Source organism: Homo sapiens, chromosome 2 (genome assembly GCF_000001405.40).
Source record: "Homo sapiens chromosome 2, GRCh38.p14 Primary Assembly".
Classification (NCBI taxonomy): Eukaryota; Metazoa; Chordata; class Mammalia; order Primates; family Hominidae; genus Homo; species Homo sapiens.
The window spans coordinates 90,354,707-90,382,099 of NC_000002.12; the positions used below are offsets into that span (position 1 = coordinate 90,354,707).

Genomic DNA, 27,393 nt, shown 5'->3' on the forward strand with positions numbered 1-27,393 from the left:
GAGATCAGCTGTTAGTCTGATGAGCTTCCCTTTGTGGGTAACCGGACCTTTCTCTCTGGCTGCCCTTAACATTTTTTCCTTCATTTCATCTTTGGTGAATTTGACAATTATGTGTCTTGGAGTTCCTCTTCTTAAGGAGTATCCTTGTGGCGTTCTCTGTGTTTCCTGAATCTGAATGTTGGCCTGCCTTACTAGATTGGGGAAGTCCTCCTGGATAATATCTTGCAGAGTGTTTTCCAACTTAGTTCCATTCTCCCCGTCACTTTCAGCTACACCAATCAGACGTAGGTTTGGTCTTTTCACATAGTCCCATAATTCCTGGAGGCTTTGTTCATTTCTTCTTATTCTTTTTTCTCTAAACTTCCCTTCTCCCTTCATTTCATTCATTTCATCTTCCATCACTGATACCTTTTCTTCCAGTTGATTGCATTGGCTCCTGAGGCTTCTGCCTTCTTCACGTAGTTCTCGAAACTTGGCTTTCAGCTCCATCAGATCCTTTAAGCATTTGTCTGCATTGGTTATTCCAGTTATACACTCGTCTAATTGTTTTTCAAAGTTTTTAACTTCTTTGCTATTGGTTTGAATTTCCTCCTGTAGCTCACAGTAGTTTGATCATCTGAAGCCTTCTTCTCTCAAATCATCAAAGTTATTCTCTGTCCAGTTTTGTTGCTGGTGAGGAACTGCGTTCCTTTGGAGAAGGAGAGGCACTCTGCTTTTTAGAGTTTCCAGTTTTTCTGTTTTCTCCCTATCTTTGTGGTTTTATCAACTTTTGGTCTTTGATGATGGTGATGTACAGATGGGTTTTTGGTGTGGGTGTCCTTTCTGTTTGTCAGTTTTCCTTCTAACAGACACGACCCTCAGCTGCAGGTCTGTTGGAGTTTTCTAGAGGTCCACGCCAGATCCTGTTTGCCTGGGTATCAGCAGCGGTGGCTGCAGAACAGCGGATTTTCGTGAATCACAAATTCAGCTGTCTGATCATTCCTCTGGAAGTTTGGTCTCAGAGGACTACCCGGCCGAGTGAGGTGTCAGTCTGTCCCTACTCGAGGGTGCCTCCCAGTTGGGCTGCTTGGGGTTCAGTGACCCACTTTAGGAGGCAGTCTGCCCATTCTCAGATCTCCAGTTGCGTGCTGGGAGAACCACTACTCTCTTCAAAGTTGTCAGACAGGGACATTTAAGTCTGCAGAGGTTACTGCTGACTTTTTGTGTGTCTGTGCCCTGCCCCCAGAGGTGGAGCCTACAGAGGCAGGCAGGCCTCCTGGAGCTGTTGTGGGCTCCACCCAGTTCCAGCTGCCTGGCTGCTTTGTTTACCTAAGAAAGCCTGGGCAATGGCGGGTCCCACTCCACCAGCCTCGCTGCTGCCTTGCAGTTTGATCTCAGAGTGCTGTGCTAGCAATCAGCAAGACTCCATTGGCATAAGACCCTCTGAGCCAGGTGCGGGACACAATCTCCTGGTGTGCTGTTTTCCAAGCCTGTTGGAAAAGTACAGTATTAGGTTGAGAGTGACCCTATTTTCCAGGTGCAGTCTGTCACCCCTTTCTTTGACTAGGAAAGGGAACTCCCTGACCCCTTGTGCTTTCTGAGTGAGGCAATGCCTCGCCCTGCTTCGGCTCCCACATGGTGCACTGCATCCACTGTCCTGCACCCACTGTTTGGCACTCCCTTAGTGAGATGAACCCGGTACCTCAGATGGAAATGCAGAAATCACCCGTCTTCTGCGTCGCTCATGCTGGGAGCTGTAGACCAGAGCTGTTCCTATTCAGCCATCTTGGCTCCACCCCTCATTTCATTATTTCATCATTTCACTTCATTTTGTCATTTCATTTCATCATTTCATACCATTTCTTCATTTCATCATTTCATCTTTTCATTTCATTTCATCATTTCATTTCATTTCACCATTTCACTTCATCATTTCATTTCAGCATTTCATTTCATTTCCTCATTTCATTTCACCATTTCATTTCATCATTTCATTTCATCATTCCATTTCATCATTTCATCTTTTCATATCATTTCATCATTTCATTTCATTTCATTTCACCATTTCACTTCATCATTTCATTTCAGCATTTCATTTCATTTCCTCATTTCATTTCACCATTTCATTTCATCATTTCATTTCATCATTCCATTTCATCATTTCATCATTTCATTTCATTTCAGCATTTCATTTCATTTCACCATTTCATCTCATCTCATCATTTCATTTCATTTCATCATTTTGTCATTTCATTTCATTTCTTCATTTCATCATTTCGTTTCATCATTTCATCATTTCATTTCATTTCATGTCATCATTTCATCATTTCATTTCATTTCAGTGATACATGTATTTAAGTGCTAATGTGATGCCCAGGAGACACCCTATTTCCCTTTGTAAAACACCTCCTTCAACAGAAGTCAACCTCTCATGGCTGGCTAAGTCTACAGGGATACCAGCCTCTCTTCAACCACCCAATTTGATTCAGAACCTCAAACAGCACCTCAGTTTCATAAAAACCTAAAACATAAACACAACACTTGGTTGTAAGTGAGCCAACAGTTTCTTGTCTCTTTCTCTGCTCAAGGCTTAAGGCCGTGTCTACCCAACTATGTTCAGTGGAAGAAAAGATCCCCTGGACAAATAAGTTTGAGAACTGTTTTTGCAGGACTTCTCAGAACCTTTAAAACACAAATCGTCATCCGCAGGGATCTTCAGGAGGGAGATGGCTGATGCAGCACAAATTTCTTTCACAGGAGTATCTTGCAGAATACAGTATGAGACGCACAAAGGCTGCATTGAGTCTTTTTAAGGGACTGGGCCTTTGTGGCATTGGGGTAGGAGCTCTCCAGATAGCATCTAATGAGTAGAAACATTCAGGTTGCTTTTTTTTTCCTTACTGGCAAAACTGTGTGTGCATCATGAATGAAGCCGGTCTCCCTTATCCATATCAAAACTAAACCCCAATTAATTGGCTAAATTGGGACTCAACACCTCCAGGAGCCATGCGGAAGAAAGCCCCACCACACTTTAAAGTAGCTTACCTCATATTTGATGAAAGCAAAACGCTTATGACCAGTGTGCTGCTAATACAAGTCAACAGATAATGCTGTATGAAAAATTATTTTTCCCAATCATAGCTAGCATAGTCCACATTTTGCATTATACTTTCCCCCCCTTTTTTTAAATTTTAAACACTGGTCCTTTTCTTTCCTTTTTTTAAATATTAATTTAATTATACAAGACAGAGTCTCAGTATGTTGCCAAGGCTGGTCTTCAACTCCTGAGCTCAAGCGATACATCCGTCTCTGCCTCCCAAAGTGCTGAGATTACAGGCCTGAGACACTGTGCCTGGCCTTAAACACAAATCTTAATTCATTCTTACAATTATCCTGAGGTTAGAAAAATGGAAGGGGAAGAAAAATGGCAAGCAGGTAGGCTGACTTCGGCTTCATTATTTGGAAGGACAGTTTGCTCCATTAAAACACACTGCTGCCCACAAAAGCCAAGACAACAGAAACATACAGACATATAAATAGATTTTATATGTGACAGCGGTTTGAATGGAAACTTTTTCAATACAAATGACAAACAGCTGTCCTTGGGAATAAATGACAACGAATTTTTTTATCTCAACACCTGTCCTGAGAGCACGTCTCTACATCTCTACCTGCATTCTGGAGTCAGGGAGAAAGTCAAAACGGACGACAAGACACTAGATCAGCTGTGTCCAACCCTTTGACTACAAGGACTTTTCAGCCTATCTGTGGTGGTGGGTATCATGAAAATTATGCACAAACCTTTTTTTCTTTAAGCTCCTCAGCTATCATTAGCAGTAGTGTATTTTATCTGTGGCCCAGGAGCATTCTTCTTCCAATGTGGCCCTGAGAAGCCAAAAGACTGGACACCTGTGCACTAGATCAAAAGGCTACTCCTTCTGGAAGCAATTGTAAAGAATTTCTGACATTATCTTGACATGAAAACCAATCGATAGTGAGACAGAATGCAAAATCTTCAAGAATTTTTCTTGTTGGTTTTTCTTTTTTGAGTCAAGGTGTTGCGTGTGGCCCAGGCTGGAATACACTGGTGAGATCACAGCTCAGTGCAGGCTCAAGTGCTCCTCCCTCCTCAGCCACAGTAGTAGGTAGGACTACAGATGTGCACAACCACCCCTGGCTACTATTTTTTTTTTTTTTTTGTAGAGACGGGGTCTCACTATGTTGTCCAGATTGGTCTCAAACTCCTTGACTCAAGTGATCCAGGACAGGATAACAGGCGTGAGCCACCACACCTGGCCATGTGCATGAACTTTTAAGACAAACACAGGGCCCCACAAAAGTTAAGGTTTTCCCACCTAATTTCCAGGAGATCTTTTGGTGCAAGGATGAGAAACCCTTAAAAGTACACAGAAAACTCCAAAGATTCAAGAGAGTTCATTCGGGCTGAGCCAGCCCACTGGGCAGACTGACCTTCAAACAAGGCCCACCCATGACATACACCAGATGGCTCTCCAAGAATCTCTCTAGTTCTCAGGGTCCCTAAGGTACTGGACAGAGCTAGGGAGGCAAACCCATTTGCTTCTTCCTGCAGGAAACCCCTTGAGGTCAAGACCCCACAATCAGACGAGGATGGAGTGGCTCACCCTCAGTCAACAGGCCAGACTCAAGGTGTTATAATGTCTTAACCAAGGGTGCGGGCCTCCAGGTCTGACTCCCAACTCACTGCTCCTTTAGTAACCACTCTTTGTTAATTCTCCTTAACAGGGGTTCCTGGCAAGTCATTTCTCCCTCAGGCCTTCGGTTTCCTCACCTACAAGATGAGAGGGCTGGACCAGATGGCAATTCGGGAGGTAAGGGGATGTCCGCGTGCAGCCCACCCCGCCCATGGGCCCCTCGAGCATCCATCACAGTTCCCAACACGCAACCGCTCCACAAATCCTGCCCAAGGTGAGGGCTGGTCCCAGGTCCTCCGGCTGCCGCATCAGCGAGTGCAGGAGGGAGGAGAAGCCTCCAAAGGGGCGACGTGGGCTCAAGGATGCAACTCGGCCAGGAGTGAACTGGGGCCCAGATGGAGGTGTCCAGTCTGGTGCTGGAGCCCAGCCCTGGTCCCTGACCCCCTTACCTCCAGGGTCCGTATCTCCTGCTGGGTGAGGTCCTTGGACACAGCGCACTTGGTGCGCAGCCCGCGCAGGCTGCCAATGGAGATGCCGATGAGCTTCTGGAGCTGCCCGCACTGCTGCAGCGCCCGGCTGGCCGCGGCCCCTGTGCCTCCCTACGCGATAGCCGCGTCACCCCCGCCACTGCCCTCCTTCTTCTCTCCCATTGCAGCCGAGCGCAGCGCCGCTCTATGCGGGCTGCAGCAGCCCAGGAGCGGAGCCCTGGGCGCCGGCGTCTAGGCAAGGAACCCCTGATTCGGGAGAGCTGGACCAGGAGCGCCCCTTGGCGCTGCCTTAGTCAGGACGCCGGTAGAGCTGGCAGCCAAGTCTGCGGATCCAGCCCTCAGACCCGCGGCGGTGGGGGCAAAAAACTGCAGCGGTGGGCGCAAAAAGCCGGGGCGGTGGGGGAAAAAGCCAGGGCGACGGGGGCAACAAGCCATGGCGGCGGGGTCAAAAAGCCGTGGTTGCGGACGCAAAAAGCTGCGGTGGCGGAGGCAAAAAGCTACGGTGATGGGCGCAAAAAGCCGTAAAAAGCCGCAGCATTGGGGGCAAAAAGCCGCGACGGCGGGGGCAAAAAGCCCGGGCGGTGGGGGCAAGAAGCCGGGGCAGGAAAAACCTGCGGCGACAGGGGAAAAAACTCGCGGCGGCGGGGGCCAAAAGCCGCGGCGGCAAAAAGCCGCAAAAAGCCGGGGCGGCGGGGGCAAGAAGCCGCGGCGGGAAAAACCTGCGGCGGCGGGGGCGAAAAGCCGTAAAAAGCCGCGGCGCCGGGGGCCAAAAGTCATAAAAAGCCGCGGCGGCGGTGGCAAAAAGCCGCAGCGGAAAAAGTCGCGGTGACGGGGGCTAAAAGCTGCAGCGGCGGGGGAAAAAAGCCGCGGCGGCGAGGGCAAAAAGCCGCGGCGGTGGGGGGAGAAAGACGCAAAAAGCTGCGGCGGCAAAAAGCCGCGGCTGCGAGGGCAAAGATCCCCAAAAAGCCGCGGCAGCAGGGGCTAAATTCCGCGAGGCCGGGGGCAGAAAGCCGCGGTGGCGGGGGCAGAAAGCAACGGAGGCGGGGGCAAAAAGTCGAGGCGGCGGAGGCATAAAGCCGCAAAAACCCGCAGCAGCGGGGGCAAAAATCCATGGCGGCAAAAAGCCGCGTCGGCGGGGGCAAAGTAGTGGAAATGGGGTAGAAGGCCAGAACAGCTTGGCATTCCTGGAGTGTGATGTGGAAGGAAAAGTGCAGAGGAAGACAAACAAAGATGTAAGTTGGCTTGACTCAGTGCAGCTAAGAACCCAGATGTTATCTTGATGTTATCTATCAGCTAATTTTTTGTAGTTTAGTAGAGAAGGGGTTTTACCACATTGGCCAGGATTGTCTGGATCTCCTGACCTCATGATCCACGCACCTCAGCCTCCCAAAGTGATGGGATTAGAGGCATGAGCCACAAAGTGCTCAAAAAATCTATTAATTAAAAAATGTGTATGTAGCCGTCTTTAATCTACCATGTCCATTAGCAGATAAATACTATAAGCAAAATAGCAACAATGAGAGAAACATAGACTTAGAGTAGATACTCTGATTTATTTAATAAAAATTTGAAAATAGACCAAATTACTCTATGATAAAAAAAAATCTGTTGCTATTGAGGATGAGGGTTAGTGTTTGGAAAGGGGCAGGAGAAGTATCACTATTTTTAGTAATGTTCTATTTTCATACATGGTTATAAGCAAATACATGTGTTTCATTAATGAAGCTATCCATATTTAATCATTGTACTTTTCTGCATGTATGATATATGTCAATAAATGTCTTATATACAGCAAAAATAGACAAAACCACAAGAAGACATACACAAATGTTAAACCTAGAGAGAAATTTGAATATAAGTAAGTCTCTGAATGACTGCTAGAACAAACCGAAAAATAGGATGGAGAGGTTTGGAACAGCATGATTAGCAAAATGGACATATCTGTCTTTTAATATAGGCAGAAACATAGTTAGATAAAAAAAGGACTTGTCTCAGAGCATGATTTCTGAAAATAGTGGAATCGAGTTTGAATCTAGTAAGTACATATAAATAAATGTCTTAAAACTCCTCTTATGTTAGCTAATTAAGAAACATTATTGTAATAGACATTAGAAAATATTTTAATAAATTGAGTGGATTTAACACGCTAAGGAAATGATCTTACTTGCATTTGATAGTTCAATTAGATACATATACACCTATAGGTAGTTTAAAATATTTCTAATAACCTTATATACTTTTAAAAAGCATTGATATCTGTTTGCACTATCTGGTCTATAGAGTACGCATACCAAACATGATTATAGCTCTTCTGCTATAAACTTCAAATGTCTAAGTAATACAAAAATCTAGAATGAGAAGAGTTCTTTGCATTTTTTTTTTTTTTTTTTTTTTTTTTTTTACCAAATAGAATATAGGAAGGATAGCTACAAATATACCTGACACACTTATCTGTGAGTATGGTGGTAGCCTTTTTATTTTATTTTATTTTTCAGAGAGGGTTTCACTTTGTCACCCAAGATGGGGTGCATTCATGTGATCAGAGCTCACTGAAGCCTTCACATACTGTGCTCAAGCGATTCTCCCACCTCAGTCTCCTGAGTAGCAGGGACTGCAAGTGCATGACACCATACTAGCTAATTTTTGTAAAGATGGGGTTTCACCATGTTGCCCTGGCAGATCTCCAACTCCTGGACTCAAGAGATCTGGCCACCTTGGCCTCCCAAAGTGCCGGGATTATAGATTTGAGGCACCGCGATCAGCCCAGCCTTAAAAAAGGGTGACTAGAGATCTTTATCTATGTATATCTATCTATAAAATAAACATATGTGTTTCTTATATAAAAATATATACTATTAATATTATATAAAAATTTTTTTCAAGGTAGAAATATATAAAGAGGGTGCATGTAGAGCCTGGGGCATTGTGTAGTGAAGCTCAAGGCGTCTGAAGAAATGACCCTTGCCTCTTTTGTCTGGGCTAGAATCCGAGAAGGGAAAGCAGCAGATGCACTGGTTCCCAGGTTCTTGGCATCCTACAGAGAGAAACTTGTTTGAGCTAGGGTAGCGTTAAACACCCTTGTTCTTACTCTCCTGTTTTATGTAGTGAGCAGAGACTAGCTTCATGAGAACAGACTGTGACAGCCAAGGCTGTCTGTTATTTTGTGCAGCATTAATTGAGAAATTCTAGCACCTGAAGACCTCTGGGCCATTTGAGGGTAGGTGCAGGGGAGGAAAGGGAAGTTTGCATCCCTCATGCTGTGGAGAGAACCCGTGGGGAGCACAGACCTTGTCCTAACTGAAGGCAGACCCCCTTGCTAACCAGATTCTCATCAGCCAACCCTGGATGAGTTTCTATGTCTATTTATTAAATAATCCTCATTGCTTTTCTTCACATGGGCAAAGTATGGTTTGCAGGGAATATTGTTCCTTTGAACACCCATCAAGGAAAACCCTTCCTGTTGTGGGAAAACAGGCTTCCATATGTGTCTTATTGGGAAACACATAGGCAATTTCTATGTTTTTACTGCATCTATTTCAGGGATATGGGAACTGAATAGTGCCCATCAAAGGCTCACCTGATGTTGGAAATTGATCTGAGAGCGCGGAAGGACATAATTCTTTCTTTGTTCCTGGGCAGCGGTGGTTGAGGGTTCACCTTGTGGCAGCTACAGTGGCAATGATGGAGGCAGAATGGAGGGCTCAGTACCAAGACAAGGAGAGACTTGGCCTCACAATGGCAGCATTGCAGGGGTGCGCTCTACAGAGCATTTGCTCACATGGTTTTGGGCATTGTCTCTAACTACATTGCTTCCCCAATAGGTTGACCCATTCTAACTAACTCCTTTTCTCTTTAAAAAAGCAAACTTCATTTGTATGACTTGCAATTGTAAACGACACCAATTGGCCAGTTATCATTCAAATTCTCTGTTACTTAATCCTGCCTTTTCCTGACGTATGCAAATTTGCCCTAAAAAATTGGACACTTTGTTGCTTACTCATTGTCTTTACACATTTTAAAATGTTGCTTTAGGCCCCAATCCCTAACTACATTTTCAATGTTTTGCAAGTGGAGTCCATGTGTTCTTGATTTACATGAAGCTCAAAATAATGGTTATAGTAACTAGTACTTCATAATTAAGCAAAAAGCTCTTATTGAAAAATGACAGAACTATACATAGGGATGACAACATGGAGAGATATTTCGTGAGATCACAAACTTATGGTATAGCAGAAGTAGAACGCTGAGTAGAGACTCTGTGTTCCCAATCATTATTTCTACCACCAGCTTTCTATTTTGATGGTAATAATGTTCTTATGTGGGAAACCCTACATATTTGCCAATGTTTAGTTCATTGACAAAGAAATAGAAAGAGCTTCAAGAACACTCGAATCTTTAAAAAATAAAATACCTATAATTGGCCATACGAAATAATTGGTACTTGACATATACTGAGATCGTTTTATTTTGTGCTAGATAAATGAAGTCATAGAACAGAATGTGCTTTAAATATTATGAATAGTGCCTGCGTGTGTGTGTGTGTGTGTGTGTGTGTGTGTGTCTATAGATGCATATTAGGCCGCTGAAAAGTTTTATTATTCTTTCCAGGAGAGAGACTGCCAACTTTTGAACCTAACTAGAACAATATATTGCTTCTTCATATTTTGATTAAGGCAAAGAGAGTCTAGTTAAAAATAATTCAACTTGTCGTGGAAATGCTATAAATTGCTGTGAAGTGAGTTGCTGGCTATGGCTTGTCAGAGTAAATATATTGTACAAATCTTAGGGGAGAATCAGTGCTCGTGCATTAAAATCAAATCATCTTGCAGCACACTGAGAAAAAGGTTAGATTTTTAAAATAATTTCAAAGTCATGAAAAGAGCAAATATGCTCCACAAAGAGCCTAGCAACCCTCAATGACCAATGCCCCTTTTATATAGTTTGGTATCTGAATTAGAATCCCAGAATCTACAAATTCCTCTGGGTGAGGGTGCTGCATTTTGAGGATTTTATAACACTGCCATCACCAAGCTCTCTTTTGATATTCACTTTAAGGAGATAATTTACGGGCAACCAGAGAGCATAAACCAAAGTAGATATCTAACTAGATAGCCAGATACATCTCCATATCATTGACAGGATACATTCTGGCCGAGTGTGAGTACAACCTATGGATGTGGTTGGAGAGAACATGTGTTCCACCTCAATGGCAGATCAGGATTATTCCTTCTCATCTGCTGCAATGGCTCAATGTGTTAAGGAGAGGAGCGAGACAGCAAGAACCGCATTCATTCAGTCATACAGACCAAAAGGAGGAATGTCGCCCAGCCCTCTAAACTGACCCAGAACCCAGCTCATGTCTCAACTGCTACCTCTCCTACTTAGAAAGAAGTAACTCCACCAAAGCAGGGTTCTGGACAAATATATTTTTATTGATCATATACAAATAGATGAAGATGGACTTGGATGTTAAGAAAAATAATACTATACAAAATCAAGAGTAGACAGTCACCCCTAGACTTAAATTAAGGGTGTGTACATTAGATAATTTAATCCAATGTATCAGGTAAAAACTTGAACGAACCTTTTAGCCTCTTCCTTAAAATTCAGGAAAGCATGTCCTCCACAAAACAGAATCAAAATATAAATAAAAGACTGGCTTAAGATGAAAGGAAACCTTACAAATGAAAAGAAGCCAGATGAGAGGCCCTTAACTGAGAATGAAAAGAAATTGAGTGGACAAAATAATTATGAGATGAACCTTCAAATCAGAAAGAGGGAAAAAAGCTTATTTGATACTATGGGAACTCAAAAGAGAGTGAACAAAAATGTGAAAATTCCAGGAGTACAGAAAAGTAGCATGGCTAAATTAAGAGAATGAGAAAATGTGTACAATTTTGAGTAATAAGAACAGAAATCAAAAGTAACTGTTGTATGTTATATTTTAGTAGAGGAACACTGAAGAAGAATGAAAACAAGAAATAATATTAAATATGAACATATGGAGAACAGAATAATATTTCTAAAATTTTTAGTTTCTAAGCTTATCTGAAATTTTAATTTTGTTTTCTTATGTAATACCAGAGTTATTAGGAAGGTATTATCTACTAACACTATTTTCAGTGATATTTTAAGTAGTTGTCCTAGTTAAATTTCTATTTTTTAAAAATGTATATTTAAAAATACATTAAATGTGTATATACATCAATCATATGTATCGATTTCTGTTTTTCTTGAATTGCAAATGAAATTTGTATTTTTGTGTTCCTGGAATAAAATAAACTTGAATGGATTGTAATATTTTATTCATGCTGTAATTCAATGTATTTGAATTCTTTAAGAATGTTACATTTACAGTTAACAGATACTGACCTATAAATTTTCTGTCATATAATGATGCTGTGAGACAATCTAAGAAGAATTAAAATTTAAATTCATGTATTCTTACTTTTTTCTCTGTTCTCTAACTGTAATATATTTTAATTACAGATGGAGGAACAGACAGATGTTAGATAAATAGATATATAATATATAGATCATCCAAAATTCTTATTCTTATGGTTTTATGTAGTCAGTATTTACCTCTATTTTTCTACATGTTTATCCTTCCAATTTAGTTCATTATTTCCTGCACCTTTGATTTCATATATATAAACAGGAAATAACACATGGTGGCCGTTATGTAGAGAGAGCCACAGGACTTGTGAATAAAATCCACAGGCAAGGACGTGGCGATTCGTTTTGCAATATTGGAGGGAATGCCAAACCCTATGTTTGCTGTGGAAAAGAGTATGGTAGTTCCTCAAAACATCAAAATGGTATTGCCTTACGATTCAGCAGCCCCACATCTCAAGACAGCAAAAGAATTGAAAGCAGAGTCTTGAAAAAATATTTGCACATCCATGTTTGCAGCAGCATTATTGGCAATAGCTAAAACGTAGAAGCAATTGAAGTGTCCAACAACAGATGAATGGATATGCAAAACATGATATATACATACAATGGTAAATCATTCAGCCTTAAACATGAGGGAAATATTCAGACATATGTTGCATCTTGGATGAAACTTGAGGATATTATGCCAAGTGAAATAAGTTAGTCAGTGAAGGACAAATACAGTACAATTCCATTTGTATAAGAGACTTAAACTGGACAGAATCATAGAGATAGTACAATGATGAATGCCAGAAGCTGGGGGGAGGAAGACATGGGAAAGTACTGTTTAATGGGTATAGAGTTTCAGTTTCACAAGATGAAACGAGTTATGGAGATGGATGGTAGGGACGGCTGCACAATGTTATGACTATATTTAGTACCACTGAACTGTACATTTAAAATGGTTAACAGAGTACATTTTATGTTATGTGTATTTTACCACAATAAAAAAATAAAATACCTTAGGAACATTTTCCTGAAAGAGTCCACATAAAATTCATTTTAATGCATGTGTTTATGCATAGCTTTCTATTTTTCTCTTTTCTATTTATATTCCAAATTAGAATATAATGCTAATCAAGCATAGTGGCTGTGTTTCTTGCTTCCTCTAGTCTGCAGGTAGCATACAAATGTAAGAAACTACTAATTAATGTCACATCTATTTATTTTCTGCTTTATACCAAGCTTGTGGGATTCTCTTAAATACAACATTTTTATACTTACACCTATGAAATACCCATTAACATCGCCTTCCTAAATCAGTGGAAATTGAGTCTCTGTAAGGTGCAGTAACTTACTAAGATACAAAACTCAGCATTTAAGTCTGTATACTTCAATATCCTGCCCTCTTCTCATTTGTCTTTACTGCCTTTTATGTATGTGTTAGATGTTCAATAAATTCTCTTTTTTAAACTGAATTTAAGCCGTGGAGCAGTGTTTTGTTGAACAATAAATATGATATTGGACACTCTTCCTCCCTTTCATTTACGATCCTGTTCAAGAAAAAGAGAAAATCTTTCATTGTGCTAGAAGCTTAAAATAATGAAAATGCCACTTTCTACATTAAACAGAAACTGAAGGGAATCAAGGTGAATTGGATGAGACATAGAAAACAAGTGGGAAATAAATCTAGTATAATTTCCCCTTTGTGTACCTTTGTTATTTAGCATTTGAGAAAATTTTTCCCCCAAATATCTTCCCATCTTAATTCATGTCTATAAAGTAGACATTTATGCCTCACCTTGTCAAGAAGGGCAAACTCTAACATAAACATTTCCCAAAAATGCTTCCTGCTAAAACATAAGCTCGGTCTGGCTAGAAATTAAGCTCACTTCATAAAAATTAATTGGTAGCTAATCTTTGCATGCTGTTCTCTGAACTTGAGTGAAAGCTGTCCATCAGGCATACAGGGAATGACGGAAAAGGTGACAACAGAAGATGAATGCTATGTCACTAACCTTCAAAGATGACCTTCCTTTTCTTTCAAATTCTTGATGTCTTAAGATTTCATTAATTCATCTTTCTTTGCCCTTGGTTCAACATTGTGCTATACCAAAACTCATGTAAAACGATGATGTATTGTAATAAAAATGGCATTTTTCTTTCATGTAGATTCAAGCTATGTGGCATTTTTACAATCGACATATTTCCGTTGTCAATTTTTCATTCTGTATTGGAAGTAATTGATAGGTATTTCTGAAGGAATGAAGGTATTTCTGTGTTCATTGTGATCCAAACTTTTTTTAGACCTAGTGGTGTTTGTAAAACAATTTGTGCCAGCTGACCAAGGACCACTGTGGCAGAAAGCAGCAAACTTGCATAAGATGTCACTGCCTCATCAGTTGGCTTTGAAAACTAGGGGCTTATTCTATAGTCCTCTGAATCAAAGACATTGATAGATGTAGTATAAGATTACAATCATACTTTCCTTTTGACAGTCACATTATAAAGCATGATGTATTGCAATTAATCTCAATTAGCTGATCACAATTAAAATTAATAGCTTATTATTGCTGATAAAAAATCATGACTCTCCTGTTCTCAAATGTGCAAGTAATTCTTGTAATTTTAATACAAATGTGCATATTATTACTAATTGATTTAATCTCATTGTATTTGGTTCATGGATCCAATTTATTAAAATATTGATAGTGTGGTAATGATTTGTCTCCCCATTTCATTTACACTAAAAGACACAATTCGTACAATGGTCTGCAAGCCCATCATGATCTGCCGCATGTTAACCGCCAAAATTCTTTTATGTCTTCACCCTTGATCTTACCAGTGGTCCTGTCCACCTCACTGTCCTCTGGACATGCCAACATGCTGCTGTCTTATGACCAAGACTCTAGTTAATTTCTTGGCTTTGAAAGAAATCCCCCCATATATCCATTGATCAGCTCATTCGACTCCTCAAATCTTTACTGAAACCTCACATTCTCGATGAGACCTATTCAGTATTTCAAACTGCCTCCCAGCTGAAACATTCCAAAACCCCTTAGTCTTCTGTGTATTTTTGAAAGGATTTATTGAGATATAATTTACATAGTGTAGAGTGCACATATTAATGTCTACAAGTCAATGGCTTTTAGTATATACGCAGATAAGTGGAGCCATCATCACAATGAATTTTAGAGCATTTTCATCACTTCAAAAAGAAACCCCACTTTCTCTAGCTGTTAACCTCCTATGCACTCATCCCCTACTCAATCCTAAGCAACCACAAATCTGTTTTCTGTCTCTGTAGATTTTCCTATTCTATTTTCATCTAAATAGAATCATACAATAGGTGGCCTTTTGTGCCTGGCTTCTTTCAGTTGGCATAATGCTATCAAGGTTCATATGCGTATCGGTACTTTATTTGTTTTTATACCTGTATAACATTCAATTTCATGGATATGACATTTTGTTTATCCAATAATATTTTTATTGACATTTGAGTTGTGTTCAACCTTTGGCTATTTTAAATACTGCTGCTAAGAATACTTGTGTACAATTTGTGTTTGAACACCTCTTTCCAATAATCTGGGTGTATACCTGGGAATAAATTTCTGGGTCATATGACAATTCTATGTTTAATATATTTAGAAGCCATCAACCTATTTTCCAAAGTGGTCAGTTCTAGCCATAGCGTATCTAACTGTGGTTTTGATTTGTAGTTGCCTGATGAGTGATGCTGTTGAGTATCTTTTTATGGGATTATTGACCGTTCGTGTATCTTCTTGGAAAACACATCTATTCCTATCATTTATCAGTTTTGAGTTGGGATATTTGTTACTGAGTTAAAACAATTTTTCTATATTCAAGATACATATATATGCAGACATATAGATATGTGTTTTTCAAATATTTTCTCACAATTTTTGAGCTGCCTTTTGACTTGCTTGGTTGTCCTTTGAAACACCAATGTCTTTAATTTTTAAGAAATTTTAAATATCTCATTTTTATTTTGTTGCTCATGTTTTTGGTGTTACAGCTATTTCTTTGCTAGATCCAAAATCCTGAAGATTTTCCCATATGCTTTATTCTAGCTCTTCCATGTATGTCTTTAATTCATTTGTGTTAATATTTTTGTATGCTTTGGGGTAAGGGTTCCAATTTATTATTTTGCAAGTGGCGATCCACGTGTACGCTGTTGACCCAGTTTGTTCAAAGACTGTCCCTTCCTCATTGAATTGCACATGGCACCACTGTAAGAATCCATTGACTATAGACACATAGTTTTATATATGGACTCTCAATTCTCTTCCATCAATCTATATATTTTTCTTTCATCAGTGTTGTGTTGTCTTGATTACTGATGCTTTGCCGTAAGGTTTGGAGCACGGGGGTGTGAATTATCCTAATATGTTTTCTTTTTTCAAGACTATTTTGGCTATTTTGAGTCCCTTACATTCCCATGTGTATTTTAGAATCAGCTTGTCAGTTTCTAGACAGAAGTCTGTTGGGATACTTGCAGGGATTACGTCAAATCTGTAGTTCAACTTGAAAGTACTACAATATTAAATCTTCCAATTCATGGCTGTAAGATATTTGCTAATTATTTAGATCTTCTTTAAACAATAATTTTTAATTTTCCGAGTAAAATCTTGTATCACATTTTCCAAATTAATTATTATTTCTTTTTTTGATGCTATTTTAAATTGAAGTGTTTTCTTAATTTCATTTTTGGGTTTTCATTGTAGATGTGTGCAATTGATTTTTGTAGATTTATCTTGTATGCTGTAATATTGCTGAAATAATTTACTAGTTCTATTGTTCAGTGAATTCCTTAAAATTTTCTATATACAAGAATATTATTTTCAAATAAAGTTTTATTTCTTCCTGTTCAATATGGTTGACTCTTTTTTTTTAGTTGCCGACTTGCCCTGCATAAAATCTTTAGTACAGTGTTGACTAGAAGAGCTCAAAGTATATATCTTATTCCTATCTCTGACCATAGCGGGAAAGCATCCTTTACCATTAAGTTGCATTCTTGCTGTTGGCTTTTCACAGGTGCCATGTATCTGGTGTAGAAAGTTCTCTATTCCTGGTTCATTGAGTTTTTATTTTTATTTTTAATCATTAAAGCATTTGGATTTTGTTAAATGTCTTTTCTGAATCTATCGACATGATCATGCAATTCTTGTTTCTTATTCTATGGATAAGATGTATTACCTTAATGGATTTTGGGCTGTTAAACCAACCTGAGATTACTAGTATAAATTTCACTTTGTCATAGTGTATAATTCTTGTATATGTTGCTAGATCTGATTTGTTAGTAGTTTTTAAGGAATTTTGCATTTATACTTATAGTAGTTTTATTTTTCTATGCTATTTGGACTAATTTTTGTATCAAGGTAACACTGGCCCCATAGAATAAATTGGGAAGTGAATATTTCTCTTTTTTAAAAAAGTCAGTCAAGAATTAATATTAATTAGTCAATACTAACAAATATGATTAATATTATAAATTATTAATTTCTCTAATTTTTATTTTCTTCCTTCTGCTTGCTTTAGGTTTAGTTTGCTATTCTTTCCAGTGCCTTAATGTGGAAGGTTATCTTATCTCATCCTTTCCTTTGTCTTTTCATTTTCGAAATAGTGTCTTTTTAGCATCAGGTGAGCTCCCCAGGTTGGTAGTACTCCATGTTTATTGCTGTACAACAATGACAGGTAATATGTCCTGAAGACAATGGAAATTTAACATTCAAAATCCTCCTAGATTCCACCTTATGTGATATGTCTCTTCCTTTGATTGGTCCTAATTTCTACCCTTTCTCTATTATAAACCATGAGTACAATGGCATTCAATGACTTTTGTGAGTCTTTTTAGTAAATTCTTGAAACTGAGGGTGTTCTTGGGAAACCCCTGAACTGGCAATTGGTGACAAAAGTGCAAATCATCTTATATGGCCTCTTCCTTTGAACTTTGCAGCTGGACCCAAACTCTGCACAATTTGGGGCAGAAGTCTCGTGTTGACTTTGCAGCCTAAATTATCTTGTAGTTTGTCTAACCCTCAATAAATTTGTTTTCATCAAATATTGTATTTGTTACCCCAAAATTACCATCATGGTTTTTTCTCCAAATAACTAACATTGGGAGAAATAGCCAGCTGAATCTGTAACTCAACAGAAACAAGTGATCCATATACCATATAAGTGGCCATTTCATTTTGCCTCCTTCCACCAGATCTTAGCAACCTCAACCATTGCCATGAGCCACTGTAGGCCTACCATCTACAAACAAACAAGTATCTTTTAAAAAGACTTCATACTCCCATTTGATAAATTTCCCAGCAAAGAGATGTTTACTTTAACTCTATGCAAGTGGCTCATATTCTCAAAGTCTGGAGATATTATTCATGAAGTGTGAGAAAATCATCCCAGCGATGCCAGCACATTCTCCTTCCCATGATCTGCTTACTTTGCAAAGATATTCAGGCCATAGGTGAGAGATTTGTATTTCAAAGTACAACGATTTTATGGAGGTCATTGAAACTTAGATTTAGCATTTTAGCACAGTCACGCATCACTGAATGACAGGGATACGTTCTAACAGATGCATCCATAGGCAATTTCATCATTTTGCCAACGTCAGAGAGAATATTACAAACACCTAGTTTGTACAGCCTACCACGTTTAGGTTATATGGTATAGCCTCTCTCCCCTAGGCTACAAACCTGTGTACTACATTACTATACTGAATACTGCAGGCAATAAGAACACAGTGGTAAGAGTTTATGTATCTAAACATACTTAAACATAGAAAAGAATGTAAAAATATGTATTATAATCTCATGGGACCACTTTTGTATATGTAATCCATCTTTGACTGAAATGTTATTATACATGACATGACTCTATGACAAAAATAATACATTTTAAAAAATGTACACATGTATCAAACATATTATTATAAAAATAAAAATCTTCAGTGTAAGAATTTGTAATGATCACAAAATGTTCACAGCTTATATTTAAGTACAGTTTCAAATGCCTAGTGCAATTACTATTTATTTCTTTGTGTATTTTAACCATGTATATAATAAATATTTTTCAGGTTCAACAATATATATCAATCCTACAGGCTCTTATAAATATTAGCTAAAATCAATTGGTAAATTCATGTATATATATGCTTACCTGTATCAGTGAGCGTGTGTGCATGTATGTTTGTGTAAATGTAATTTTATGTGTGTGTAAATGTAATTGGATGCATCCTTATATTTACCTTTACCTTCAAGATTTCCAAGATTCATTTATTATCTTTAGATGATGGGCATTTAAAGATTTACCAAATACAACTGTATTAGTGGAAAATATCAAGATGTTATTAAATTCATCTTGTGCACATAATTGTTTCTATAATTTTAAGTTTCTTGCAAAACTTGCAGTAATGCTCATGCACAAAATAATTTCCTAAATAAAAAAAAAAGGTTTTCTCAGTCATTAATTCTTAAAATTATTTCTCCCCAATAATTAATGTGAATTAATTCTTAATTCTTAATGATAGAATAATGTTGCCCTTCAGAGTTCGGAAACTTTTACATGTTGTACACATTTCACAAACCAGAACAACTTCTGAAATATTGGCATTAATTAATGTCACTCAGCAATTATTGATTTCAAAGGCATTAAATATCATTCCTATTCTGAATCACAAGGGTACTTTGGCATCTTATTTAATCAAGCTCTTTGTATCATCATCTACAATTTAATTACTTAACAAACATTTCTCTGTGTGAGAAAGATTGAGCAGGTTATTGTGCTTTTTTAAGATGCAACTTTTGCTTAATCTAGAGATAGGCAATGCTCCCTATAAGGGACAAGGAGAAAAATAAATGAGCAATAGAGATGTGACAGGCATGGAAAAAGACACTACATTTATCAAACAAATAGGGCCACGGATGACGATAATGGGGATCAAATCTTGAGATACTGACTCAGTTTATAACCTCACTGTATAATAGAGCAAATCATTTGTTAATTTTTTTACAAATGGAATTTAATTTAATTAAGATGAATACAGTGTTTTAAACAAGGCAGGTCATCTTAAAATAAAATAGTGGAATAAAGTGATAAAACCAATGTAAAAATCGTAAACATTTTATAAAGAATTTTTGTCATGTAATTTAATATTTTTGTTCATTTAAAATCACCCAAATCAAAATAATTTTATCTTAATTAACAAATAATCATCAGAAGTTTAACTAATTTTTACTTTATAATACTAGGTTTAAAAATTCTGAACTATAGTTTTAATCACATATGCTTATATATAAAATAGACAGGATATATATTTACATGTTCACAATATTATATTGTAATTGCTCCTATGGATGTGGTTTTTCAATAGAATTAATAAGTACTTTAAAAAAGTTTCAATTTCAATGATGTATATGATTGATTTTTCTTAGAAAAAGCATACATATATTGATAGGTAATAATATGAAAATCTTCTAAAGGCATTACAGGAACACGAAAATGTAATTAAATACTCACTAATTTGTAATGTTTTATGTAAGTGGAACACATTTAACTGAAAATTGCTTTTATATAATACTCAAACGCGACTAAAAACTTTTTAACCAGCGGAGTAAGTCTTCAAATTGATAATCTGGACTATATTGGAGGAGAAATTTCAGGCACTCAAATATTTGAAATGCTACAAAATATTTATATAAACTATTATTTAACAATTTCTGTTTGTAGAGTGCTATACAGTAATCAATATAAATGACATCTCAAGTCTTTCTATAGCTTTGACCACATTTACCTCCTAATTTTAATTATTAATATGTTGGAGCAGTGCATACAACTAGATTCTGATCTTCCTTTTTAATGAGTACAAATATGTGCTTTGAGACAGCATTAAAGAAAGAGCACCTTGTAAAAATTCAATGCCAAGAGACAAGATATTCTTGATTCTGAAGTCTTGTTCTTTTATACAGCAATGTAATTAATAAGAAGAAAAGGAGGACATAGATGTGGAGCCTATTTTAATAAAAAATTGTCTGTAGATTTTCATGATAACATTTAAAAATCTACTATATTTAGTTAGTTACAAGAAACTAGGTTGTGGGAACATATTTGGTCAACAAAACACCCCTACCAAGGGCTGACAAGAAAAAAAGTTAGGTATCACCTTTCTTCTCTGCAGATGGCCTGAGATGGGTTAATTTGAAAGAATGCTTCCAAAGCTGAGGTGACCCCTGAGAACAGCATAATCCACTGCTGTCTCCCGCATTCAGTTTCTCAGTCTGTGCTCTTTTAATTTTGTGGGAAGGGAAGCCAGCCCTTTAAACCAATCTTCAGCATGATGGCAGAACCAAGGAGTGTGGACAGGTGGCACGGTGTCTGACTTTGTTCCCGCAGCCACTTGTGCTTTCTCTGGATCTTCTCTGCCCTAGGGATAGCACCACTATTGAAAACATATCTTTGTGACATTCTCTATGCCAGGAACTCCCAACACATTTTCCTTGAAACTGATGAAATGAATAAAAATAAACCAAGAGGTGTGCTGTTTGTTTCTGTTTCCTGCTTTCTGCAGCCCTTCTTGATCATCTAATATTTTCAAATACATTGTTGATCACCAAAAGGAGCATAAGGGGTATATTGATTTGTAGCAGATGTATTAATAGCCCAGCCCCTATTCCTTACCTGTAGCTGCTGGGAAGAAAACCACTCTTAACACTCTACAAGGTCTCATCTCCAGAATTTGCAGCTGTTTCTAGCTGAGGACTTTCTCTAGCAGCATGGGAGCTTGATACTGGGCAAGTGGGAAGAAAAGGTGAGGATAACTAAGAAGAATCTCCCTGGATTCAGTGATGTAATTCTGAGGCATGTTCCACATAGCTTCCCATAGAATTAAGCCCCGATATCTAACACAGGAACTTGCCTCTTAACACGTGTGGTACTGGCTTTTCTATCTTTCCTGTTTTATTTTGTTCTCTCTTCCTTGTCTCACTTTCGCTGTGTCCTCACTCCTGCTTTAAGAATACCCAAACAAAAACACTCATTTTTTTTTAAGAGTCTCAGAATACAGTTGATAGTGTAACTTGTAATCTATGATAATCAGCTTGGATGCTGTACTGACAGGAAGATGGTGAACTCACAATGTCTAATTAAGATAAAATTAAAAAGTATATTGATTCATGTCAAAAGATTTAAAAAACCTAAGTGGCAGTGTCACAATTTCTTCTTTTTAGTTTACATGGTTTCTTAAACGCCTACAATTATTTTAAAGGAAGCCTTGAATCTAGGAAAAATTGAGACATATGGAATAAATTACTAACCCATTTCTCCTTGAAATCCATTAGATGCTTGATGATTTCTCACATATATTTCTGAATTGAAAAGCTAGCTGTGAATTATTTTTATATGCATATCCTTAGGTAATATTTTGTTTTTAACAGTGAATTGAAGGTTTAAAGATTAAATTATTCTATCCAGAGAATAAAAAGCAATTATTTCACAAGGAGAACATGTGTACGTTGACACGACATTTTAAAGTCTAGAATTTAAAAAAGGACCCATATACTTTTGTGTCAAATAGAATATGTTTGTATCAGTCTGTCTACAGTTTTACACCTGTCAAAATGTACTTGAACTACAACAACAACCTTGAACAATTTTGAAATTGATGATTCCTCTGAAACTGATTAAAAGAATTATGGTAGAGTGAAATTCTGATTGACATAATTTGGGAGAGAAATTATTCCTTGGACATCAACCTCTGCCAAGATAGTTTATAATGACATTGAGGCTTTTTGATTTACACAATTTGTTATATAAAAAATACTAAGACGATGGCAGATAATACACAGACTTTAATTAAAATTGTACTACAATTAAATGTCTAAATAAATTAGAAGGGTACATGGTACATCTAATTGTATGTTTATATATTTTATTTGTGCATTTTTTTCCTAGGGTTTCTTTTGCTTTAGTTTGTAAAACGTTCTTATGTTTATAATAATGTAGCATATACTAAATAAAGAAAAATCAGGAAATAGAAAATGAAGAAGAAAACATTAGCTATTGTCAACCAAACAAAAATTGTGCAATCTCTAAGCACATGAACTATGTAATATTTGTACAGCATAGTACAATGTTTATGCTTCACAGGGTGAGGTAGAGACTGCAAAACCTTGAACTTGGGACAAACAAGAAAGTAAGGAAATTTTCACAACATATTAATATTATAGAAAATGTTGAACTTAACAGTTAAGATACAAGTAGTGAAAAATGATAGTATTTAAGGAGATCTAGAAAATTTAATCTATACCTGTAATGTGTGAGAAGTATTAGAATAATGCTTGTATTTCTGGATTGTCATCGATTTCTATTGAGACTGGAAACATAATAGAAATGAGCAAAAAAGAATTTAAATTGTGGATACTTGAGTTTTATACCTAGGAGTTCCAGAAATACATTTTGTTACTATCAAAGCAGTTGGCACAAGAGGGTACAAAATTCCCTAATTGTGTCTATGTGGAGAAGACATAGACAGAGAATAGCAAAACAGAAATAGCAAAAAAAGCACAAATAAATTTTACCTGTATTTTGAAGTAAAAGCCAATTACAGAGGGAAAACATGAAATTTGTGTTTTATCAAAATTTTTCTCTTTCTCATAATATAGTTGAATATATTACTGGAAAAAATTTGAAGCACTGGTATGTTCACACATAAAAGTAAAATATAAGGTCAAAACCATGGGAATGCAGGGAGCAGACAAAATATAACTAAACACGGAAACTGATTTTTCCCTACGGACATGTAGCAAAATGAATGAGTGCAGATTCCTATTGTCATACATTACATAGGACAGTAAAAAAATACATAGATTTTCCCAAGATAGGGCATCACACAGGAGCTCCTCCCTACAGCTAAGACCAACATTTCTATCCTCAGTATAAGGAAGATCAGAGGTAAATTAGTCCCATTTCACATTCCCTGGAAATGGCAAATAAAAATGATTTGAGATTGGACGGATTTAAAGAAACTCAATCATTAATGATTAACAGCAACTAATTTAAAAATTGTTTAAATGTGCAGTCCAAACATATGTCCGAACACCTTTAGGCCAAGAATTAACATAATGTGGTCCCAGAATGGTGGTGCCTTTAGTAGAATCACAAAAAAATTCAACTTCTCTTTGGCAAATTTTCTACTTATTAATCTGCAAAAGTGCACAAAAATAATTTTCAGAGAAAAATAAATATTTGTCATTCAAAGACATCTAAGCATGCAAGGAAATGATATTCCACCATTTGAAAGGAAAGCAGAAAAAGACTACAAACAGATCCACAAAGGTTCATTAGTAGAAATATCACTGTTAGATTACAAAGCACATTTGCTTACAAAAAATTTTTTAAAAAATGAATATATTGTTAGGAGACTAAAAAATTCATGTAGCAAATTTGAAAAGAAGTTTGTATAAAAATGTAGTTATTTTAAATTAAAAACTCAAAAATGAATTCATCAGATTAGACATGGCCAAGGTGAGAGTTCATAAATATTTCAGAATGCATTACAGAAAATTTTGAAAAATGTAAAATGTGGACAGAATGATGAAGAGACATGGAAGATACAGTGAGAAAGTGTAGCATGTGTTTAGAGAGCGTTCTCATAGAACAAGGGAACTGGGAAGGGACAATATGTGTTGGTATTTTGTCTGAAAGTTCCCTAGACTTTTGTAAGACACTGATCTGCATATTCAAAAACTCCATGCATGCTAAGCAAGCTACAATGGAGATACACCTACACCTATGTATCTCCTAGAGAAATAGTAAACACCCATGAAGGGAAAAATATTTCAATTACCACTAGAAAAATGAAATTACTTTTAATCATACCGAAATCTGAAAAAATGAAAGGTAAAATAAACAATATTATTTGTTCAGAATAATAATGCCATTCTGAATTTCTAAACGAAGAAAAATATTCATCAACCTGTGGCTAAATAACATATTTAGAGAAAAAAACAAAACGCCACCAGCAGAATTCCACTAAAGAAACTAAAGAGAAACTCTGAAAATATGCTTCAGAAAGGTTGAAGTTCTGAAATCAAAGAATGAACACAGAGTAAAATTTATTGTAAACAAACAGATAGAACAAATAAGAAACTGGATGTTGAAACAAAAATATATTTAAAATTAGATAAGCACTGCAATATGTATGATAAAACGAAAATTATTAGGGCTGAAGTACTCAAAGAAATCTTAATTGTATGACAAGTGCAGAAAAGTGAGTATGACTTTGCAACACCTTTTCTTCTTCGAATGGAAAGGAAAGGAATGGAATAGAATGGAATGGAATGGAATGGAATGGAATAGAATGGAATGGAATGGAATGGAATGGAATGGAATGGAATCAAATGGAATTGAATGGAGAGGAATTGAATGGAATGGGAGATGAGATTGTGCCATTGTGTTACACAATGGGTGAAACAATGAGCCACTCTCGAAAGAAAGGAATGGAATGGAAAGCAAGGGAGTGGAGTGGAGAGGAGAGGAGTGGAATGGAGTGGAATGGAATCAGATGTAATGGAATGTAGTGGAATGGAATGGAATGGAATCATCATCGAATGGAATAGAATGGAAATATCATCGAATGGAATCAAGTGGAAACACCATCGAATGGAAACGAATGGAGTCATCATTGAATGGAATCAAAAGGCATCATCATCCAAAGGACTTGAATGGAATAATCATCGAATGGAATCGGATGGAATAATCATCGAATGGAATCAGATGGAATAATCACTGAATGGAATCGAATGGAATCATCATCAAATGGAATCGAATGAAATCATCATTGAAGGGAATCGAATGGAATCATCAACAAAAGTAATCGAATGGAATCATCGAATGGAATCTAAAGGAACCATCATCAAATGGAACTGAAAGGAATCATCATTAAATGGAACCGAACACAGTAATCAGCAAATGGAATCGAATGGACTCATGATCAAATGGAATCAAATGGAATCATCATCAAATGGAATCGAATGGAATCATCATCGTATGGAATCAAATTGAATCAATGAATTGAATCGAATGGAAAGATCACCGAAAGGAATTGAAGGGAATCATCGAATGGGATCAAATGGAATCATCGAAGGGAAACGAATGGAATCATCGAATGGATTCGGATGGATTCATCAGTGAATGGAATTGAATGGAATCATGGAATAGACTCGAATGGAATCATCATTAAATGGAATACAATGGAATCATCGAATGGACATGAATAGAATCATCATTGAATGGAATCCAATGGAATCATCATCGAGTGGAATCTACTGGAATCATTGAATAGACTCGAATGGAATAATCGAATGGGCTTGAGTGGAATCATCATCAAATGGAATCGAATGGAATCATCAAATGGACTCGAATGGAATCATCGTCAAATGGAATCGATTGGAATCATCATCAAATGGAATCGAATGGAATCCTCATCGAATGGAATCGAACGGAATCATCATCGAATGGAATCACCAAATTGAATCGAATGGAATGATCATCAAAGACAATCGAAGGGAAACATCGAATGGGATTGAACGGAGTCATCGAATGGAATCGATAGGAATCATCGAATGGATTCAAATGGAATCATCATCGAATGGAAACGAACGGAATCATCGAATGGACACGGATGGAATCATCATCAAATAGGATTGAATGGAATCATCGAATGGCATCGAATGGAATCACCATTGAATGGAATCGAACGGAATCATCGAATGGCATCGAATGGAATCATCATCGAATAAAATCAAATGGAATAATCGAATGTACTCGAATGGAATCATCAAATGGATTTGAGAGGAATCATCATCGAATGGAATTGAACAGAATCATCAAATGGACTCGAATGGAATCCTCATTGAATGGAATCGAATGGAATCATTGAATGGAGTCGAATGGAATCATCAGCAAATAGAATCGAATGGAATCATTGAAGATCAACGAATGAAATCATCATCGAATGGAGTCGAATGGAATCATCAAATGAACTCGAATGCAATCATCATAGAATGGAATCCAATGGAATCTTTGAATGGACCTGAATGGAATCATCATCGAATGCAAACGAATGGAATCATCATCAAATGGAATCACATGGAATCATCAAATGGAAAAGAATTGAATAATCATAGAAAGGAATTGAATAGAATCATCGAATGAAACCGCATGGAATCTTCATCGAATGGAATCGAATGGAATCATCATCGAATGCAATTGAATGGAATCATCATCGAATGGAATCGAATGGAATCACCAACGAATGGAATTGAAAGGAATCATCATCGAATGGAACCAAATAGAATCATCAAATGGACTCGAAAGGAATCATCGAATGGACTCGAATGGAGTTGTCATCGAATGGAATCAAATGGAATCATCGAACGGAATTGAATCGAATCATCATTGAATGAAATCAAATGGAATCATCGAATGGACTCGAATGGAAGCAATATCAAATGGAATCGAAAGGAATCATGGAATGCATTCAAAGGGAACAATCAAATGGACTCAAATGGAATCAACATCAAGTGGAATCGAAAGGAATCATCGAATGGACCGGAACGGAATCATCATCGAATGGAATCGAATGGAATCATCGAATGGACTTGAATGGAATCACTATCTAATGGAACCGAATGGAATCATCATGGAATGGAACCGGAAGGAGTCATCATCAAATGGAATCCAATGAAATCATTGAATGGACTCGAATGGAATCATCGTCAACGGGAATTGAATGGAATCATCGAACGGTCTCGAATGGAATCATCGGAGAATGGAATCGAATGGAATTATCAAAC

The 27,393-nt window shown here is 37.3% G+C and overlaps 1 protein-coding gene across 1 annotated transcript, besides 5 other annotated features; it reads left to right on the plus strand.

Moving 5' to 3' along the window:
* Window positions 1-4,612: 4,612 nt before the first annotated feature.
* LOC124905368 (translation initiation factor IF-2-like) lies at window positions 4,613-6,420 on the plus strand. The gene is made up of 6 exons (XM_047446870.1): window positions 4,613-4,647; window positions 4,744-4,829; window positions 5,108-5,514; window positions 5,630-5,778; window positions 5,812-5,880; window positions 6,095-6,420. The coding sequence occupies exons 2-6, from the start codon at window positions 4,797-4,799 to the stop codon at window positions 6,418-6,420; spliced, it is 984 nt and encodes a 327-aa protein (XP_047302826.1). The 5' UTR covers window positions 4,613-4,647; window positions 4,744-4,796.
* Window positions 5,691-6,190: an enhancer, noted in NCBI's record as "H3K4me1 hESC enhancer chr2:90413141-90413640 (GRCh37/hg19 assembly coordinates)". NCBI's record gives its function as "activates a minimal SCP1, AML or CMV promoter by ChIP-STARR-seq in primed H9 embryonic stem cells {active_cell/tissue: H9 hESC(primed)}" and the evidence as "EXISTENCE:reporter gene assay evidence [ECO:0000049][PMID:30033119]".
* Window positions 6,191-6,692: an enhancer, noted in NCBI's record as "H3K4me1 hESC enhancer chr2:90412639-90413140 (GRCh37/hg19 assembly coordinates)". NCBI's record gives its function as "activates a minimal SCP1, AML or CMV promoter by ChIP-STARR-seq in primed H9 embryonic stem cells {active_cell/tissue: H9 hESC(primed)}" and the evidence as "EXISTENCE:reporter gene assay evidence [ECO:0000049][PMID:30033119]".
* Window positions 24,640-25,202: an enhancer, noted in NCBI's record as "OCT4-NANOG hESC enhancer chr2:90394129-90394691 (GRCh37/hg19 assembly coordinates)". NCBI's record gives its function as "activates a minimal SCP1, AML or CMV promoter by ChIP-STARR-seq in primed H9 embryonic stem cells {active_cell/tissue: H9 hESC(primed)}" and the evidence as "EXISTENCE:reporter gene assay evidence [ECO:0000049][PMID:30033119]".
* Window positions 25,849-26,411: an enhancer, noted in NCBI's record as "OCT4-NANOG-H3K27ac hESC enhancer chr2:90392920-90393482 (GRCh37/hg19 assembly coordinates)". NCBI's record gives its function as "activates a minimal SCP1, AML or CMV promoter by ChIP-STARR-seq in naive H9 embryonic stem cells {active_cell/tissue: H9 hESC(naive)}" and the evidence as "EXISTENCE:reporter gene assay evidence [ECO:0000049][PMID:30033119]".
* Window positions 26,412-26,973: an enhancer, noted in NCBI's record as "OCT4-NANOG-H3K27ac hESC enhancer chr2:90392358-90392919 (GRCh37/hg19 assembly coordinates)". NCBI's record gives its function as "activates a minimal SCP1, AML or CMV promoter by ChIP-STARR-seq in naive H9 embryonic stem cells {active_cell/tissue: H9 hESC(naive)}" and the evidence as "EXISTENCE:reporter gene assay evidence [ECO:0000049][PMID:30033119]".